Source organism: Homo sapiens, chromosome 8 (assembly GCF_000001405.40).
Source record: "Homo sapiens chromosome 8, GRCh38.p14 Primary Assembly".
Taxonomy (NCBI): domain Eukaryota; kingdom Metazoa; phylum Chordata; class Mammalia; order Primates; family Hominidae; genus Homo; species Homo sapiens.
This window is the reverse complement of record NC_000008.11, coordinates 81,887,940-81,907,333: the sequence shown is the minus strand read 5'-3', so window position 1 is coordinate 81,907,333 and position 19,394 is coordinate 81,887,940. Positions and strand designations below refer to the sequence as shown.

Below are 19,394 nucleotides of genomic sequence, written 5' to 3'. Positions count from 1 at the left end.
TATTATACTTTAAGTTCTAGGGTACATGTGCACAACGTGCAGGTTTGATATAAGGTATACATGTGCCATGTTGGTTTGCTGCACCCATCAACTCGTCATTTACATTAGATATTTCTCCTAATGCTATCCCTCCCCCAGCCCCCTACCCCCGACAGGCCCCGCTGTGTGAAGTTCCCTGCCCTGTGTCCAAGTGATCTCATTGTTCAATTCTCACCTATGAGTGAGAACATGCGGTGTTTGGTTGTGTGTCCTTATCATAGTTTGCTGAGAATGATGGTTTCCAGCTTCATCCATGTCCCTGCAAAGGACATGAACTCTAGATGACTTATTGAATATAAAAAATGAAGAGAAAAAAGGAGCCAGAGATAGCTCTAAGAATTCAAGTTTGGGTGTCTGAGTGTTAAAAATTTATATACAGAAGAAGATCTAGTATTGTGGCCATTTCAGTTTTGTCCATATTGCCCTCAAGGCATCTTTGGAACACCCAAACAGAAATAACTTATGAAGAGTTGAATATACAAACTTGAGTTTCAAGTCTGTATATTTTGGGAAAGATCTTGGGTGGAGAGATAAAATCAAGAGTAAGCAGCATATAAATATTAGTTGAAACTATATAGGAAATAGTATTATTCAGGAAGAATATATAGAATCATAAGAGAGCTGAGATAAAACAACACTAACATTTAAGGCACAAAAGCATAAGATGAAGTGAGAGGAGTAAGTCCTGAGAAATGAAGGGAGCCAGGAGATTGTAGAATTGTAGAATCAAGGTAGTAAAGACTCTCAAAAGGAGGGGTTAAACTATGACTTCAAATACAATAAGAAATTCCAGGAAAATAAAGGCTGAAAGAATGGTCACTGGCTTAGGCAATTAAGAGGAAACTAGTAGCCTTTTACCCCTTTAGTACATGAGGATTGCTGTAAGCCAAATGGCAGCAGGTAGAGAAAATGAAAGAGAATAAATAGCAAGCACAGATTACTTTTAAAGGACTAAAGATGCAAGAGGATTGACTAAATTGAAGCTAAAAAAAGATATAGGTCAAGAGTATGTGCCTTTTAGTATAGGTGACTTGAATTCTAGTAAGCCGAAGAGAACTTGAAAGTGCAGGAAAGAGGGAAAAGTAAATGGATTAAGGTCCCAGAAGAGAGAAGCCAAAATAAAATCAAGAACATAGAGGGATTGTTCAGCCTTAATCCAAAGTCTTGACCCCCATTAGTATCAGAAGAAAGAACATATAGGAAAAAGTATCCAAGGCTGCAAAGAAGGCTGGTTCTGAGCAAGAGTTCCTGCGTGGTCTCCAGAGCAATGGCAGGACACTGATCTGAGGATGGTATGCCATAGAGTTTAGGGAGGGAGAGCAAGGGTCTTAGAAACTAGCATCAAGGCCTTATTCGGGGAGATGACCTTCATCCACAACCTTTAGCAGTGAGAAAGACCCTGGTTGGGAACTGTTACCAAAGTGGTTTTTCACATAACATTAAGAGCATTTACATGAGAAGAGATAAATAATGAGGATGTTGATGATAATGATGATGATTAAAATAGACACTCTGATGTACCCCGCCAGGTACTCCCTTCAGGACTGTATTCCCCTGGCTTCTGGGAGTGCTGTTGACCGACAGCCCTCAGCTGCCAGCTTTCTCAGCAAATTAATCTCAGCTGAAAAGAGCTGCCTTCCCCAAGGTAATGATTCTCTCTTGGCTACAGTCTGCACCCAATGACTGGTCAATTCTAGGATATAGAATTCAGCCTCCTTGCCCCAGTTAGTAACAAAATTGAAGATGCAGCCTAACTTCAGAGTTCCTTAAAGGGCCAGCTGAGGCTAAAGACACTGTCAACTTCCTTCCCTTCCTCCACAGATATAGTAGTCACATAAAATACAGGACACTCAGTTAAATTTGAATTTCAGATAATTGGGTCCCAAATGGTGTATTTTATATTAAAAATTACTCATTGTTTACCAAAAATTTAAATTTAACTGGCAGTCCTGTATTATTATTTGCTAATATGACAAGCCTAGCCACAGGTTTAATTCTGAGCATACTCTTTTATTAGTCTGTTCTTACACTACTATAAAGAAATACCTGAGACTGGGTAATTTATAAATAAAAGAGGTTTAATGGGCTCATGGTTCTGTGTCTGGAATTGGTGGGTTCTTGGTCTCGCTGACTTCAAGAATGAAGCCGCGGACGCTTGCAGTGAGTGTTACAGTTCTTAAAGATGGTGTGTCCAGAACTTGTTCCTTCAGATGTTCAGATATGTCTGGAGTTTCTTCCTTCTGGTGGGTTCGTGGTCTTGCTGACTTCAGGAGTGAAGCTGCAGACCTTCACAGTGAGCGTTACAGCTCTTAAAGGTGGCCTGTCCAGAGTTGTTCATTCTTCCTGGTGGGTTTGCAGTCTCACTGGCTTCAGGAGTGAAGCTGCAGACCTTTGCGGTGAGTGTTACAGCTCATAAACACAGTGCAGACCCAAAGGGTGAGCAGCAGCAAGATTTATTGTGAAGAGCAAAAGAATAGAGCCTCCACACTGTGGAAGGGGACCCGAGCAGGTTGCTGCTGCTGGCTTGGATGGCCTACTTTTATTCCCTTATTTGGCCCACCCACATCCAGCTGATTGGTCCATTTTACAGAGAGCTGATTAGTCCATTTTACAGAGTGTTGGTTGGTCCATTTTGACAGAGTGCTGATTGGTGCATTTACAAATCTTTAGCTAGAAAAAAGAGCGCTGGTTGGTGCATTTACAATCCTTCAGCTAGACAGAAAAGTTCTCCAAGTCCCCACCCGACCCAGAAACCCAGCCAGCTTCACCTCTCAGTTCCAAGGCTGTACAAGAAGCAGAGCTGAAGGGGCCTCAGGAAACTTACAATCATGATGTAAAGCAAAAGGAAGCAGGCATGTCTTCACATGGCCAGAGCAGGAGGAAGAGAAAGTGGGGGAAGGTGCTATACACTTTAAAACAACCAGATCTCATGAGAATCTATCAAGAGAACAGCAACGAAAGGATGGTGCTAAACTATTCATGAAGGATCTACCCTTATGATTCAATCACCTCCCACAAGGCCCCACCTCCAACATTGAGGATTATAATTCAACATGAGATTTGGGTAGGGACATAGATCCAAACCGTATCAGCTCCCTAGGTAAACTTCCTTCATGTTAATCTCAGTCTCAGAATTGGCCTCCCAGGGTATCCAAGCTACAACAATCACTAAATTCTGGAACTTAATCAGCTGCAGGTTGGCTGGCAATGAGGAACGATTTTCTAAGAATGTTGGGAATATGTACAGTGCCCAACACAAAGTAACAGCATAGCAGCATAAATATTAACCTCTGACTGGTGGTAAATTGGGATAACATACAAATGGAAGGAATTACACAAGCATATGGAATTTGTCAGGCCTCTGAGCCCAAGCCTGCACCTATACATCCAGATGGCCTGAAGTAACTGAAGAAACACAAAAGAAGTGAAAATGGATGGTTCCTGCCTTAACTGATAACACTACCTTGTGAAATTCCTTTTCATGGCTTATCCTGGTTCGAAAGCTCTCCCACTGAGCACCTTGTGACCCCCGCCCCTGCCCGCCAGAGAACAACCCTCTTTGACTGTAATTTTCTACTACCTACCCAAATCCTATAAAATGGCCCCACCCCTATCTCCCTTCACTGACTCTCTTTTCTGACTCAGCCCACCTGCACCCAGATGAAATAAACAGCCTTGTTGCTCACACAAAGCCTGTTTGGTGATCTCTTCACACGGACGTGCGTGATATTTGGTGCCAAAGACCCGGAACAGGAGGACTCCTTTGGGAGACCAGCCCCTGTCCTCACCCTCACTCCATGAGGAGATCCGCCTACGACCTCAGGTCCTCAGACCAAACAGCCCAAGGAACATCTCACCAATTTCAAATCAGGTAAGCAGTCTTTTCACTCTCTTCTCCAGCCTCTCTTGCTACCCTTCAATCTCCTTCTCTCGCTACCCTTCAATCTCCCTGTCCTTCCAATTCAGTTCTTTTTCCTCCCTAGTAGAGACAAAGGAGACACATTTTATCCGTGGACCCAAAACTCCGGCACTGGTCACGGACTTGGGAAGACAGTCTTCCCTTAGTGTTTAATCACTGCATGGATGCCTGCCTGATTATTCAGCCACACTCCATTGGTGTCTGATCACTGTGGGGATGCCTGCCTTGGTCATTCACCCACATTCCCTTGGTGGCAAGTCAATTGCGGGGACGCCTGCTTTGGCTACTCACCACCCCCCTTCTCTGTGTTTCTACCCTCTCTTTTCTCTGGGCTTGCCTCCTTCACTATGGGCAACCTTCTACCCTCCATTCCCCCTTCTTCTCCCTTAGCCTTTGTTCTCAAAAACTTAAAACCTCTTCAACTCTTGCTTGACCTAAAACCTAAGTGTCTTATTTTCTTCTGCAACACCACTTGGCCCCAATACAAACCATTTAGAAAGAAATGGTTCTAAATAGCCAGAAAATGGCACTTTTGATTTCTCCATTTTACAAGACCTGGATGATTTTTGTCAAAAAATGGGCACATGGGTCTGAAGTGCCTGATGTCCAGTCATTCTTTTACACATTGGTCCCTCCCTAGTCTCTGCTCCCCATGCAACTCATCCCAAATCTTTCTTCTTTCTCTCCTGTCTGTTCCTTCAGTTTCCACCCCAAGCTCTGAGTCCTTTGAATCCTTCTTTTCTACAAACCCATCTGACCTCTCCTCTCCTCCCCAGGCTGCTCCTCATCAGGTCCAGCCAGGTCCGAATTCTTCCTCAGCCTCCACTCCCCCACCGTATTATCCTTTTATCACCTCCCCTTCTCATACCCAATTTGGCTTACAGTTTCCTTCAGCAACTAGCCCTCCCCAACCTGCCCAACAATCTCCTCTTAAAGAGGTGGCTGGAGCTGAAGGCATAGCCAAGGTTAATGCTCCTTTTTCTTTATCCGACCTCTCCCAAATCAGTTAGGGTTTAGGCTCTTTTTCATCAAATATGAAAACCCAGCCCAGTTCATGGCTCATTTGGTGGCAACCCTGAAACGCTTTACAGCCCTAGACCTTGAAGGGTCAGAAGGCTTATTCTCATTATGCATTTTATTACCCAATCTGCTCCCAACATTAAATAAAGCTCAAAAATTAGATTCTGGCCCTCAAACCCCACAACAGGACTTAATTAACCTTGCCTTCAAGGTGTACAATAACAGAGAAGAGTTGCAATTACTTGCCTCTGCTGTGAGAGAAACCCCAGCCACATCTCCAGCACATAAGAACTTCAAAACGCCTAAGCCACAGTGGTCAGGCCTTCCTTCAGGACCTCCTCCCCCAGGATCTTGCTTCAAGTGCCAGAAATCTGGCCACTGGGCCAAGGAATGCCTGCAGCCCAGGATTCCTCCTAAGCCATGTCCCATCTGTGTGGGACCCCACTGGAAATGGGACTGTCCAACTCACCTGGCAGCCACTCCCAGAGTCCCTGGAACTCTGGCCCAAGGCTCTCTGACTGACTCCTTCCCAAATCTTCTCAGCTTAGCAGCTGAAGATTGACGCTGCCCAATTGCCTCGGAAGCCTCCTGGACCATCACAGATGCCTTGGGTAACTCTTACAGTGGAAAGTAAGTCCATTGTCTTCTTAATCTATACAGAGGCTACCCACTCCACATAACCTTCTTTTCAAGGGTGTGTTTCCCTTGCCTCCATAACTGTTGTGGGTATTGATGGCCAGGGTTCTAAACCTCTTAAAACTCCCCAACTGTGGTGCCAACTTGGACAATACTTTTATTCACTTCTTTTTAGTTATCCCCACGTGCCCAGTTCCCTTATTAGGCTGAGACATTTTAACTAAATTATCTGCTTCCCTGACTATTCCTGGGCTATAGCCACACCTCATTGTCACCCATTCCCCCAGTTCAAAGTCTCCTTTGCATCCTCCCCTTGTATCTACCCGCCTTAATCCACAGGTATGGGACATCTCTACTCCCTCCCTGGCAACCGATCACATGCCCATTACTATCCCACTAAAACCTAATCACCCTTACCCCACTCAACGCCAATATCCCATCCCACAGCACGCTTTAAAAGGATTAAAGCCTGTTATCACTTGCCTGTTACAGCATAGCCTTTTAAATCCCATAAACTCTCCTTACAAGTCCCCCATTTTACCTGTCCAAAAACCGAAGAAGTCTTACAAGTTAGTTCAGGATCTGTGCCTTATCAACCAAATTATTTTGCTTATCCACCCCATGGTGCCGAACCCATATACTCTCCTATCCTCAATACCTCCCTCCACAACCCCTCCACAACCCATTATTCTGTTCTGGATCTCAAACATGCTTTCTTTACTATTCCTTTGCACCCTTCATCACAGCCTCTCTTCGCTTTCACTTAGACTGATCCTGACACCCATCAGCCTCAGCAACTTACCTATGCTGTACTGCCGCAAGGCTTCACTGACAGCCCCCATTACTTCAGTCAAGCCCAAATTTCTTCCTCATCCATTACCTATCTCAGCATAAATCTTCATGAAAACACATGTGCTCTCCCTGCTGATCATGTCCAGCTAATCTCCCAAACCCCAACCCCTTCTACAAAACAACAACTCCTTTCCTTCCTAGTCATGGTTAGGTACTTCCACCTTTGGATACCTAGTTTTACCATCCTGACTAAACCATTAAATAAACTCACAAAAGCAAACCTAACTGACCCCATAGATCCTAAATCCTTTCACCACTCCTCTTTCCATTCGTTAAAAACAGCCCTAGAAGCTGTTCCCACACTAGCTCTCCCTAACTCATCCCAACACTTTTCATTACACACAGCCAAAGTACAGGGCTGTGCAGTCAAAATTCTTACACAAGAGCCAGTACCACACCCTATAGTCTTTCTGTCCAAACAACTTGACCTTACTGTTTTAGGCTGGCCCCCACATTATTCCTGATACCACACCTGACCCCCATGACTGTATCTCTCTAATCCACCTGGCATTCACTCAATTTCCCCATATATCCTTCTTTCCTGTTCCTTACCCTGATCACACTTGGTTTATTGATGGCATTTCCACCAGGCCTAACTGCCATTCACCAGCAAAGGCAGGCTATGCTATAGTATCTTCAACATCTATCCTTGAGGCTACTGCTCTGCCCCACTCCACTACCTCTCAGCAAGCCGAACTCATTGCCTTAACTCAGGCCCTTACTCTTGCAAAAGAGACTACACATCAATATTTATACTGACTCTAAATATGCCTTTCATATCCTGTACCACCATGCTGTTATTTGGGCAGAAAAAAGGTTTCCTCACTATGCCTCTTTAATAAAAACTCTTCTCAAGGCCACTTTACTTCCAAAGGAAGCTGCAGTCATTCACTGCAAGGGCCATTAAAAGGCATCAGATCTCATCACTCAGGGCAGCGCTTATGCTGATAAGGCAGCTAAAAGAAGCAGCTAGCATCCCAACCTCTGTCCCTCACGGCCAGTTTTTCTCCTTCTCATCAGTCACTCCCACCTACTCTCTCAGATGAAACTTCCACCTATCAATCTCTTCCCACACAAGGCAAATGGCTCTTGGACCAAGGAAAATATCTCCTTCCAGCCTCACAGGCCCATTCTATTCTGTCATTTCATAACCTCTTCCTTGTACGTTACAAGCCTCTAGCCCGCCTCTTAGAACCTCTCATTTCCTTTCCATTGTGGAAATCTATCCTCAAGAAAATCACTTCTCAGTGTTCCATCTGCTATTCTACTATTCCTCAGGAATTTCTCAGGCCCCCTCCCTTCGCTACACATCAAGCTTGGGGATTTGCCCCTGCCAAGGACTGGCAAATTGACTTTACTCACATGCCCTGAGTCAGAAAACTAAAATACCTCTTGGTCTGGGTAGACACTTTCACTGGATGGGTAGAGGTCTTTCCCACAGGGTCTGAGAAGGCCACCATGGTCATTTCTTCCCTTCTGTCAAACATAATTCCTCAGTTTGGCCTTCCCACCTCTATACAGTCTAATAACGGACTGGCCTTCATCCCTACTATCTTCTGTCTAGTCATACTCCTATTCACTATTCTCAACTACTCATAAATGCCCTGCCCTTGTTTACACTGCTGGTTTACACTTTTCCTCCAAACCATCATAACTGATATCTCCTGGTTTTACCTCAAACTGCCACCCTTAAGTCTCTCAAAGTGGATAGAAGATCTTCAGTGGCAAGGTACACTCCAATACTTTCACCCTGATGAGGTCCTATTCTTTACTTTTACATTCACTCTTACTCTCATTCCTGTTCTTATGCCACCTTCTACCTCTCCCCAGCTATCTCCACCACACTATCAATTTCACTCACTCCCTCCTAGCCGTTTCTAATCCTTCTTTAACAAACAATTGCTGGCTTTGCATTTCTCTTTCCTCCAAAATTGCCGAGGCCTTGACTTACTGCTGAAAAAAGAGAACTCTGTATATTTTAAAATGAAGAGTGTTTTTACAAAACTAAATCAATCTGGCCTGGTATATGACAACATAAAAAAACTCAAGGATAGAGCCCAAAAAACTCGCCAACCAAGTAATTATGCTGAACCCCCTTGGGCACTCTCTAATTGGATGTCCTGGGTCCTCCCAATTCTTAGTCCTTTAATACCTGTTTTTCTACGTCTCTTATTTGGACCTGTGTCTTCCGTTTAGTTTCTCAATTCTTACAAAACCATATCCAGGCCATCACCAATCATTCTATACGACAAATGTTTTTTCTAACATCCCCACAATATCACCCCCTACCACAAAATCTTCCTTCAGCTTAATCTCTCCCACTCTAGGTTCCCACGCCACCCCAATCCCACTCAAAGCAGCCTTGAGAAACATCACCCATTATCTCTCTATACCACCCCCCAAAATTTTCACTGCCCTAACACTTCAACACTATTTTATTTTATTTTTCTTATTAATATAAGAAGACAGGAATGTCAGGCCTCTGAGCCCAAGCCGGCACGTATACATCCAGATGGCCTGAAGTAACCAAAGAATCACAAAAGGAAGTGAAAATGGCAGGTTCCTGCCTTAACTGATAACATTACCTTGTGAAATTCCTTCTCCTAGCTTATCCTGGCTCAAAAGCTCCCCCACTGAGCACCTTGTGACCCCCCGCCCCTGCCCGCCAGAGAACAACCCTCTTTGACTGTAATTTTCCGCTACCTAACCCAAATCCTATAAAACGGCCCCACCCCATCTCCCTTTGCTGACTCTCTTTTCAGACTCAACCCACCTGCACCCAGATGAAATAAACAGCCTTGTTGCTCACACAAAGCCTGTTTGGTGGTCTCTTCACAAGGACGTGCATGACAGAATTCATCTACAGTTTGAGAAATGTTGGGAAAATAGTAAAATTATAATGACAATGGAATCAGATGGCTGCTGCTGGAGACCATGCTTTAGAAAATATGATTTTAAAGTAGCTGAAGATGATTAAATAGCATAAAGACTAAGGGTAAAAGAAGGAGGATTTCAAGGACATCAAGGAGATACTTGGTGGCAAGTTGACACCTTCTACCCTGGAAGAGTAATGATTTATTTTGCCTGCTATAAACATATTAAGATATAAGTTGCAATTTCTTTTTCTTTTCTTTTCTTTTTTTTTTTTTTTTTTTTTTTGAGACAGAGTCTCACTCTGTTGCCCAGGCTGGAGTGTAGTGGCACAATCTTGGCTCACTGCAACCTCCACCTCCTGGGTTCAAGCAATTCTCTTACCTCAGCCTCCTGAGTAGCTGAGATTACAGGCACATGCCACCATGCCTGGCTAATTTTGGCATTTTTAGTAGAGACAGGGTTTTGGCATGTTGGTCAGACTGGTCTTAAACTCCTGGCTTCAGGTGATCCGCCTGCCTTGGCCTCCCAAAGTGCTGGGATTACAGGCATAAGCCACTGTGCCCAGCTGCCATTCCTTTCTATAGAGCCTTAGACTATATTATTATCCAAATGTTTAAAGAGTATTTGCTCTGTCAACATGGAATCCCACACAAAGTCACATCAGACCAATGGAAGCACAGCAGTAGACACATGAGCTTGAGATTCCATGGTCCTCTCACATACAGAATTACCCAGAATCTGCCAGCCTGCTAAAGCAAAGAAAAGCCTACTCAAGAAGGTATGGCTAAGGCACCAGCTCAGAGACAATACCCTATAAGAATGGGCCACTGTCCTCCAGAATGCAAATGCACATACACACACATATACACATACACACATATACATAGATAATGGCTGTGTCCTCAAGACATAAATGCATGGGTCTGAAAACCAAGAGATGGAAGAAAAGATCATCTCACTTATATCACTCCCTGTGAAACACCACATGGGGAATTTTTGTTTCCTGCCTCACAGTGCTGGGCTCTGCAGGTTGAGAAGTCCTGACTACCAAAGAAAGAATGCTTCTACTAGGGGAAACAGCAAGAGTCCCCGTGAACCTTAATCTATGGCTGTCAGTCTAGCACTTTGGACTTCACATAACAAGGGAGCAGCAGAAAAGAAAAATCACCTGGTTGGTAGAGGTAATTGAATTTGATCATCAGGAGGAGATAAAGCTACCAATATACAACAGAGGCAGGGAGAAACATATTTGACACATAAGTGAGCCACTTAATGTCACTTGTTATTCCCTTGCCCAATTTTGATGGTAAATGGATAAATACAGAAGCCATGCCTGAAAATGGCATAGAGACCAGGAACAGTACACTCCCTAAGAAGTACTATGACAGGATAACATAGAAGGAGCATAAAAAATAAGAAGATAAGAATATTAGATGAAAGTCATGCAGAAGTCGAAACAGGCTTTCTCTAAACTCAGAGTATATCTATTTCTCCTATAACTGTTAACAAAAAGAGTCAAACTGTGTAAAATATTTGAAAAGATTTATTCTGAGCCAAATATGAGTGACCATGGCCCATGACACAGCCCTCACGAGGTCCTGAGAACATAAGCCCAAGGTGGTCGGGCACAGCTTGATTTCACACATTTTAGAGAGGCATGAGACATCAATCAAAATACATTTAAGAAATACATTGTTTTGGTCCAGAAAGGTGGGTCAACTGAAAACGGGGTTGGGGGTAGGGGGAGGCTTCCAGGCTATAGGTAAATTTAAACATTTTCTAGTTGATAATTAGCTGAGTTAGTCTAAAGACCTGGGATCAGTAGAAAGGAAATGTTGAGGTTAAGATGAAAGATTGTGGCGATCAAGGTTCTTTTGAAGTCTTACAATGGCTGCCCTTAGAGACAATAGATGACAGGTGTTTCCTATTCAGATCTTTAAGAGGTGCTAGACTTTTAGTTAATCTCTTTAGGATTGGGAGGGCCTGGAAGAAAAAGATCTAGCTATGTTAACAGATTCTTTACAGATGCAAATTTTCCCCCACAAAGGACAGCTTTGCAGGGCCATTTCGAGATACCGCAAAGAAATATGTTTTGGGATAAAAATTTTTAATTTTCTTTCTTGTCTCATTATATTATGCCAAAGTCAGGTTGGAAAGTAAGTCATGATATATAGAGTTAAATATAACCCATCTGATAAGAATTTATGTTTTGTAGGGCATGACTCCCCAGACCCCTTAGATAGGAATTTGGGTAAAACAAAAAAAAATCAGCTCTTAGTCCTCATAACCTTCACCAGATTCCCCAAGGAGTATGATCTATTATCATTGAAAAAAAGATTACATTATAAAGAATGCAAATTAGTATTCATTGCAAATTTACTATGTGTCAGTTTTCTTATATTATTTCACTTTAATGCTCATTAAAAACCCTGTAAATTAAGTCTTAATAGCCACAGATTAGGAGATTGAGTTTTAAGAAATGAATAATGGAAAGACATTTTCACTACAATATATCCACATGGAAAATTAATATGAGCTTCAGACAGATAGAATAAAACCATGGAAACTGAAAACAGAACTGAGGTCAGGCATGATGGTTCACACATGTAATACCAGAAATTTGGGAGGCTGAAGTGGAAGGATCACTTGAGACCAGGTGTTTAAGACCAGCCTGGACAATATTGCAAGACCCTATCTCTAAAAAATAAATAAAAATAAAAATAAGAAAACAGAACTGAGATGACCAAATATAAGTACTCAGAAGTAGCACTGTGCAATGTAACTTTCTAAGATGATGGGGGAATGTTTAGTATCTGTGCTGTCCAATATTCTATATATTTGTTCTGTTCAATACTGTAGCAACTAGCTACAAGAAGCTACTGAGCAATTAAAATGTGGCCAATGCAACTGAGGAATTAAATTTCTACTTTTATTTAACTTTAATTATTTAAATTTGAATTTAAATTGCCGCTTGTATTACATGGTACAACTCTACAGGATCCCTGGAATTTTTCTTGTCTCTCTAATAAAATATACCCAGAGGTTAAGATGCTAATTACAAGAAAAGCAATGCAACTCTGAATTTCCAGAACAAGATTTCTAGTATACTGATCACACTTTTTCTTCTCCCTCAAGTAATGACAAAATTGGACACATTGCATGCCAAGCTGTAATTCTTAAATGGAGCAAATGTATTATATACTTCGATGAAAGACTTTTAGCAGTCGCTGCTAAGTACAGAGACACACTATTGCACAGAAGCATTCAGAGCTACTTTTCATTTTTCAGTCTGAGTAAATTCTTTCCTTCTCAAAAAATGTAGTGATACGTTAATGTAAACAGCTGGTTTCTATTTTTTGTTTGTATGCCTGTTTTTGTTTAGAGGGACTAGTGTTTAGTTTTTCACAAACTCATTTTTAGATGTCTCCAGTTTATGGTCTACTGTGTGTGCAATCTCCTTCTTCAGGAATTTAGACCAAAAACATTTTTTCTGATTAGGTTGCTCATCATTATTTTCTGAGCTTCCAATTAAGTATCATCTGGCAATCTGGCAATTTCATGAAACATTACAGCAAGCTGTATTTCGATTTTTGCCGTTTATCTTTTAACTCTCATTAAGGAGAATCTATTTTGAGTCCACTGCTGAATTAAGACCTCCAAATATTTCATAAGATTTGATACCTTGCCAAATCCACAAAACCTAAATTCTGCTTAAAAGGATTTTTTAAATTGAGTCCTATGACAGATCATTTACCAAATTGAGTACATTTAACTAATTTTCTGGCTGCTCTCATTCAATCTAATAGATCACATTGAAATCCTTAAATTCTGCCCATTTTACAACCCCCACAAATATTTCAGAGTTAACACTATTTTTCTTCAAGGGAAGCATGAGGTAAGAAAAATATACCACATAGAATGTTAACAATGTACCTATCTCTATCTCCACATACATATTCACTTGTCTCACCTCCTTTACTGAGATGTAGGACATATGGATTTTCAAAGACTAGGTATAATAAAACTCTGTCGTATAAATGGGCCAAACTTTCATTGTACAGTTACTGTGACTTTCAAGAAACTGGCTAGAATCCAGAAGCCACGCAAAAAGAATCTAAAAATTATTAAACTCTCTAAAGCCAACAATTCTGGGTTTTTATCTTGATTCTGTTGTTGAACATTAGAAAATTATTTAATGTATCTGTACCTCTGTTTCTTCATCTATAGAGTGGAAATAATAATTATAATACCTTCTTCATAATGTTGCTTTAATAGTTAAATGAGTTAATACTTTCAAAGCACTTCAAATAGTGTCTGGCATACAAGCAAACCAGCATAAGTTAACATAAATATGATAGAATCATGGTATACTGCTACTAAATGTAACTTTAGATGTTGTTCATTTTATGTGTAAATTTAACACTTGTATGATGTTAAAAATACTTTTTATACCTGCTTTTGGGATTTTAGTATTTAAATTCTGAAAACAGCAAGAAACTTCTAAATATTTATTTATGATTTGATAATAAGCAGAATTTACTTAAAAGAGAGCTGCCATCCAATATAGAAATTGGTATTGTGACATTTCTGACACTGATATAAATATGAACTTTATGTTTCTAATGGAAACTATGCCTGCAATTCTCATATGATAACAGGTATGGGCAGTGATGTACCTACAGTTACCATCTTCTTGATTTTGAGCAAATTTTCTTATTCAAGCAATATTACTTTATCACTTCTATTTCAGACATTCTGCTAAGTATGGGCAAAAAATATTAATGAAACTGCTTTTATAGTATTTACTGTAGCAGAGGATAAGACATTAAAGAAGTCACACAAATGTGAAATTTCAATTGATATATATGAATTTGAACATATTAATTTAGGAATTTGACCTAGTCAGGAATTTTCTGTAAAGAAGAGATAAATAATAAGACTGAGTCCTAAAAGGTGAGAGAAAATTAACTAAATAGATGAAAGAAAACCATTCCTAAGAAAATAGCATGAGCAAAATCTCATGGAATGAAGTGAAGAGAGTAAGGTAAATGAGATCTTTAACAAAGCTGTCTAGTAGGTAGAGAACAGATCATGCAGAGATTACAAGGCCATGTTAAGGAGTTTTGCCCACATTCTATGACCAATGGAAAGCCATTGAAGGATTCAAACCAAGATGTGGAGAAGAGAAAAACATGACCCAGTTGACTTTTAAACAAGATCAGCCAGGCTGCAATGAGAAGATAAACTGATAGAGGAGTCAAGAGTTAACTATTAAATAAATCAGTTGGGAAGCTATTTCAACATGATGCTTCATCTAACAGGTGAGTGGTGGAGATGGAGAGAAGTATAAATTCAAGAGATACTTAGGTATCTTGATGATTCACCAGATGTGGAAGATGAGAAAGAAGGAGACATCAAAGATGATTTCTAAGTTTCCAACTTGTATAACTGAACCAGATTTGGGAAAAGAGGACCATTAATTTTTTTTTCTTGGTCATGTTGCATTTGAAATGCCTTTAAAATATTCAAGTGAATATATTAAATTGGCAGCAGGAAAATGTCTGATTATAAACATAATAAAGTAACTGGTACCAGACTATTCCTCCCATGGTAAATGACTGTAAAATTGGACAACACACATAGCGATATTGTCAGACATTAGTCAAAAGGCAGCACAAAACTCTGATCCCTGAGAAAGAGGAAACACACAAAGTAAGCCCCATAATTGGCCTGAATTTCTACAGGGGAAATCTTTCCAGACTATAATGCAGGGAGGCAAGTTAAGCAGAGCACAGCAGTATCATTGAGCTGAGGAAGCAAAAATCAATGTTTAAAGTTGCTAAGAAGGCTGAAGTATGTGGAACTGGCTACTGCAGACAAGGAAGCCATGAAGACAAAGACCTCACAAATCTATATAGGGGTCCTCTTACTACATTGGCTAAATTCTAAAGCTGTGCATGCACATGGTGAGACTCAGGAAGATGGTAGAGAACAACTGCTAGGTATTTGTGAAATAAAATGTATATCTTTGTGGTTTCAAATTGGTTGAAGAAATAGAAATTCTGACCAGCAACCATGGAAAGATCTTGCTAAAAACCCCAGGCGCTCAGTTGAGACTTCTTACAAAGGCCATAGCTTAGAAGCAGAACTACTCTAGCTATAGAAGAAGATCTACCCTAGACCTTTAATAAAGTTGATATAGCTTAAAAACAGGTTTCAAAGAATTATGATGATCCACCAGTAAATTTCCTGCCTGCCAGCTCAAAATCCAAACTTTTAAAGAAAAAAAATCATACTTTTATAAATATGTTTTACAATATCTAGTACACTATCAAAAATTACTAGATGTGAAGAAATAAGACCATAGCAGCAGAGGCTACTTTAAGATATCCCAGCAGCTAAACCTAAGCCCCAATGGTAAAGAAAAAGAATAAAAGCACAATGCACCCAAGACAGAGAAAAAAAAAAAAAAAAAAAGTAACAATAAGCATAAAAAGAAGAAGAGAAAGAACAAATAGAACATCAAAACTACTAGATCAGACAGCATCCAAAAATAAAGAACCTATGATTTAAATACCGTGAGATTTCTGTGAGTCAAAAATTACTAGATATTTTTCTTTAAAAAATTAAATAGTTTAATTGAAAGAATGGCCACTATTGATAACCCAATTAGTGTCTTTAAAGATCCAGAGGAAAACATATCTCAAAAGAAAAAAAAATTTATGGAGAAGTTAATCATAAGGAAAAAGGAAAAAATAGATCTAAAATATCTAATAAATAAATCATGAAATTTCAGGGAAAAAGTAACAAAGAAAAAATTAAAGACATTATAATGAAAAAAATTTGTGATTTTAAAAAATGTTTTGAATCTGTACGTTTAAGGTTCTTACTGAGGTTCAGGAAGATTTTACAAGACATACAGTAGGGCATACATGGCAATAATGGAATTTGAAGGTGTAGTATGCTGAATAATGACCCACAAAGATGGCAATTCCTAATCCCTGGCACCTGTGAATGTTACTTTGAATAGTAAAGTCTGCAGGTGTGATTAAATTGAGAATCTTGATGTGAGATTTATCCTGAATTATCTGGATAGGGCCTAAATGCCATCATATGTGTGTATAAGAGAGCATCAGATAGATACTACACACAGAAGAAAAGGCCAAGTGACCACAGAGACAGAGATTGGAGTGATGTCCAGTCTCAAGGAATGCCAGCAGCCATCAGAGCCTGGAAAACAAGATTTATTCTGAAGGCTATTCATTGCTCGTCTATTTTAATAATCCCCTAAACATTTAAAGCAAATGTCTGTAGCACATTCAGGAGCTGGCAGAGGCAAAGGGTGGAATCCCCCCTAGAGCCTCTAGAGGGAGTGCACCTCTGCCAACACCTTGATTTCGGCCAGGTGATACAGATTTCAGCCTTCTATTCTCCAGAACTGTAAGAGAATAATTTTTTTGTTGTTTAAGCCACCCTATTTATGATAATTTATTACAGCAACCACAGAACACTAACACAGAAGGTAAAGAGAAAATTTTACAAGTTTTCAAGGAGCAAAAACAAGTTACTCAAGATTGAAAATAAATGAAAAAATATAATTCCATAAGAATGAAGAAAACAGGAGAGTAGAGAACAACAAACAAGAGCTGTCAAAATTATCATGAAAGATATGAAACATAATCATGGTACAATCTACATGTAGTTCAGTGGTCAAAATATTCTAAAGATTGATAGTGAAAACCAAAAATAGTGATAAAACTACATTGAGAGGCAGTAGGAAGGGGAAGTCATGTAAATAAGATCCATCCTTAACTACAATAACAGAAGCCAATAGATACCTAAAATTAATAAAACAAAAGCTAGCAGCAGAAGCAGATTCTTTAGAAATAGTGGAAATTATACAGATGCAAAGAAGCGCGTGCAGCTCTCCTCTAAAGGGCAGGATCTGGGGTGGAGAAGAGCGGGGTAGAAAGCTACTGTGTTTGCTATAAGTTTTTAAACTGATTTTTCCTTACGTACATGTACTGGATTGATTAAAATTCAAACATAAGAACACAATTACCACAAATAACAAGAAGCTACTGTCTTCTGGCTCGTCACAGTAATTGAGGCCTCCCTTCTCTTTCTCGATTCTAGGGGGAAATAAGCCAATGGGTCATTAGCTCATTGTGACAGCCTTAAGAGACAGGAACCTGCAAGATCCTGACAGAGAGAAGTCTTTGGAAAGGCAGTAGGGGAAATGCTTCGAAAGGTCTGAGCTCTATTCACCAACTGGGCTGCTACAATTGGTATTACGCATTCATCAGAATGGACCTTTCTCCAACTGTCCCAGGACTGAAAAGATATCGATCCTGGCTACTCATGGCCTAGGAGGAACCACACTGGAGCTGCCCAAGCTCCAGGGATAGAATATTCTATCACCGAGGGTTTTCTGCTCTGAAGCCAAAAGTGGAAGAATGAGACCTGAAAAACTATTCAGTCTTAGCTTTTCCTATTATGGGCTTGTGCCCACTAAATAGGATGTTTTTGTTTGTTTGTTCAAGTGCCCAATACTAAAGGGGGTATCGATTTATTTGAACTAGGCAAGTAGACTAAAGTGAAGTGCAGTAAGTGATGGTTAATCAATAGAGTCAGCCTTCAGAAGCTATTCTGCAACACTCCAGAGTAACTGTTTGCTATTCACAAAGTCTCACTGGAGAGTTTCTTCAGCTTCTGACCATCACAGCCTGCTTGGCACTTCCCAGATCTCTCTTACAGTTATCATTCTGTCAGTCTTTTAAACATGGCCATTCAAACCCAGTCCATAGACCTGCAGATAAATATCAAACTGCTGGCTTTATTCTCAGCTCCTTCTCTTTCAAATGCAACACACACATACATACATACACACATACATATACACACACATACGTACATCAGTTAGTACAAACAAATACTAGAGAGGTGTTTTCCTCATTACCGCTTTTGGAGTTCAGCTTGATGAATTCAAAATATATGTGGCATGAGCAAATGAGAAATAAAGAGACAAAGAAGTGCCCTGTCAAGTACAGTAGCAAATATACATAGGGCTTACTACGTGTCAGGCACTTGGGACCTATAAGTAACCTATATTAACTTATTTAATTATCACAATTGCATGAGATAGTTATTTTCATAATCCTCATTTAAGACATAGAAATCAAGAGATAAAAGATTTAACTTGCTCAAGGTTGCACAGGTAGTAAGCAACAGAAGAGGGATTTGAACTCAGGCGATCTGGCTCTAGAGTCTGTGTTCTTCACCACAATACAATAATGCCACTCAAGCCATATTTAGGTTCTTAACGTGATAGACTGTGCACGCTTGGTTTCTCTCTAGTTGTTCCTAGCACAATGTGATTATACCATTGGCTCACAAATAAAAGTGTCTAATAAAATCTGCTCAGGGGCATGGGTAATTTCCATAACATCAAGCTACCTTGAAGGTTTTCAAGGATTGGTGTCATCCAGTGTGATGTCATTATCAAGGACAAGAATATTGTTACAGCTAGCTGGTGATGCTGCCTCTCCCTTTCTGGAAAAATACGAGTTAATCTGAGGCCCAACAGACCTTTGCCTGGTTTGCCTGTGGAATAATCCAATTCTGACTCAAGGGCAGGTTTTGGTTGAAAAATACAGTTATGGCTTTGTGGAATTAGGGAAATGATAACGTTTCTTGATTTGTTGACTACTAGAGTCATGAGAAGTGAAAAAGTACGGTGAATCTGAGATTACATGCTCAGAGAAGATGGTACAGTGTTTATGACTAAGCCTGACAGAAAACTGGGGAAGATGGGAAAACTTGTAAACAATGATGAGTAAATCTGCTTTGGCTATACTGAGACTGTCAACAAAGACATCTGTTAGCTTAGTAGCTCTGTGAGCTATCAGTCAAGTGTTTATTGACTGCTTCTCGGGAAGATGCTCAGTGGTAAACATTCTATGAAGACAATCACATTATATAAATGCCATCAAACATGTTGGAGAGATTTCCAGCTAACCTCGCCTGAGTACATCTGAGCAGTTCATTAACATCC

At 40.2% G+C, this 19,394-nt stretch overlaps 1 long non-coding RNA gene across 8 annotated transcripts in view, besides 2 other annotated features; it reads right to left on the bottom strand.

The window, feature by feature from the left end:
• The window catches only part of LINC02235 (long intergenic non-protein coding RNA 2235), an 81,042-nt gene that overhangs the window by 16,327 nt on the left and 45,321 nt on the right, over positions 1 to 19,394 (bottom strand). Inside the window, exon 3 of one of the 8 annotated variants that reach the window (NR_170319.1) lies at positions 215 to 298. The exons of the other annotated variants lie outside the window; for them this stretch is intronic. This is a non-coding gene — a long non-coding RNA (long intergenic non-protein coding RNA 2235). The remainder of the gene's footprint in view (positions 1 to 214; positions 299 to 19,394) is intronic. 8 annotated transcript variants of the gene reach the window in all.
• Positions 8,755 to 9,528: an enhancer, noted in NCBI's record as "NANOG-H3K27ac hESC enhancer chr8:82810041-82810814 (GRCh37/hg19 assembly coordinates)". NCBI's record gives its function as "activates a minimal SCP1, AML or CMV promoter by ChIP-STARR-seq in primed H9 embryonic stem cells {active_cell/tissue: H9 hESC(primed)}" and the evidence as "EXISTENCE:reporter gene assay evidence [ECO:0000049][PMID:30033119]".
• Positions 11,079 to 11,853: an enhancer, noted in NCBI's record as "OCT4-NANOG hESC enhancer chr8:82807716-82808490 (GRCh37/hg19 assembly coordinates)". NCBI's record gives its function as "activates a minimal SCP1, AML or CMV promoter by ChIP-STARR-seq in naive H9 embryonic stem cells {active_cell/tissue: H9 hESC(naive)}" and the evidence as "EXISTENCE:reporter gene assay evidence [ECO:0000049][PMID:30033119]".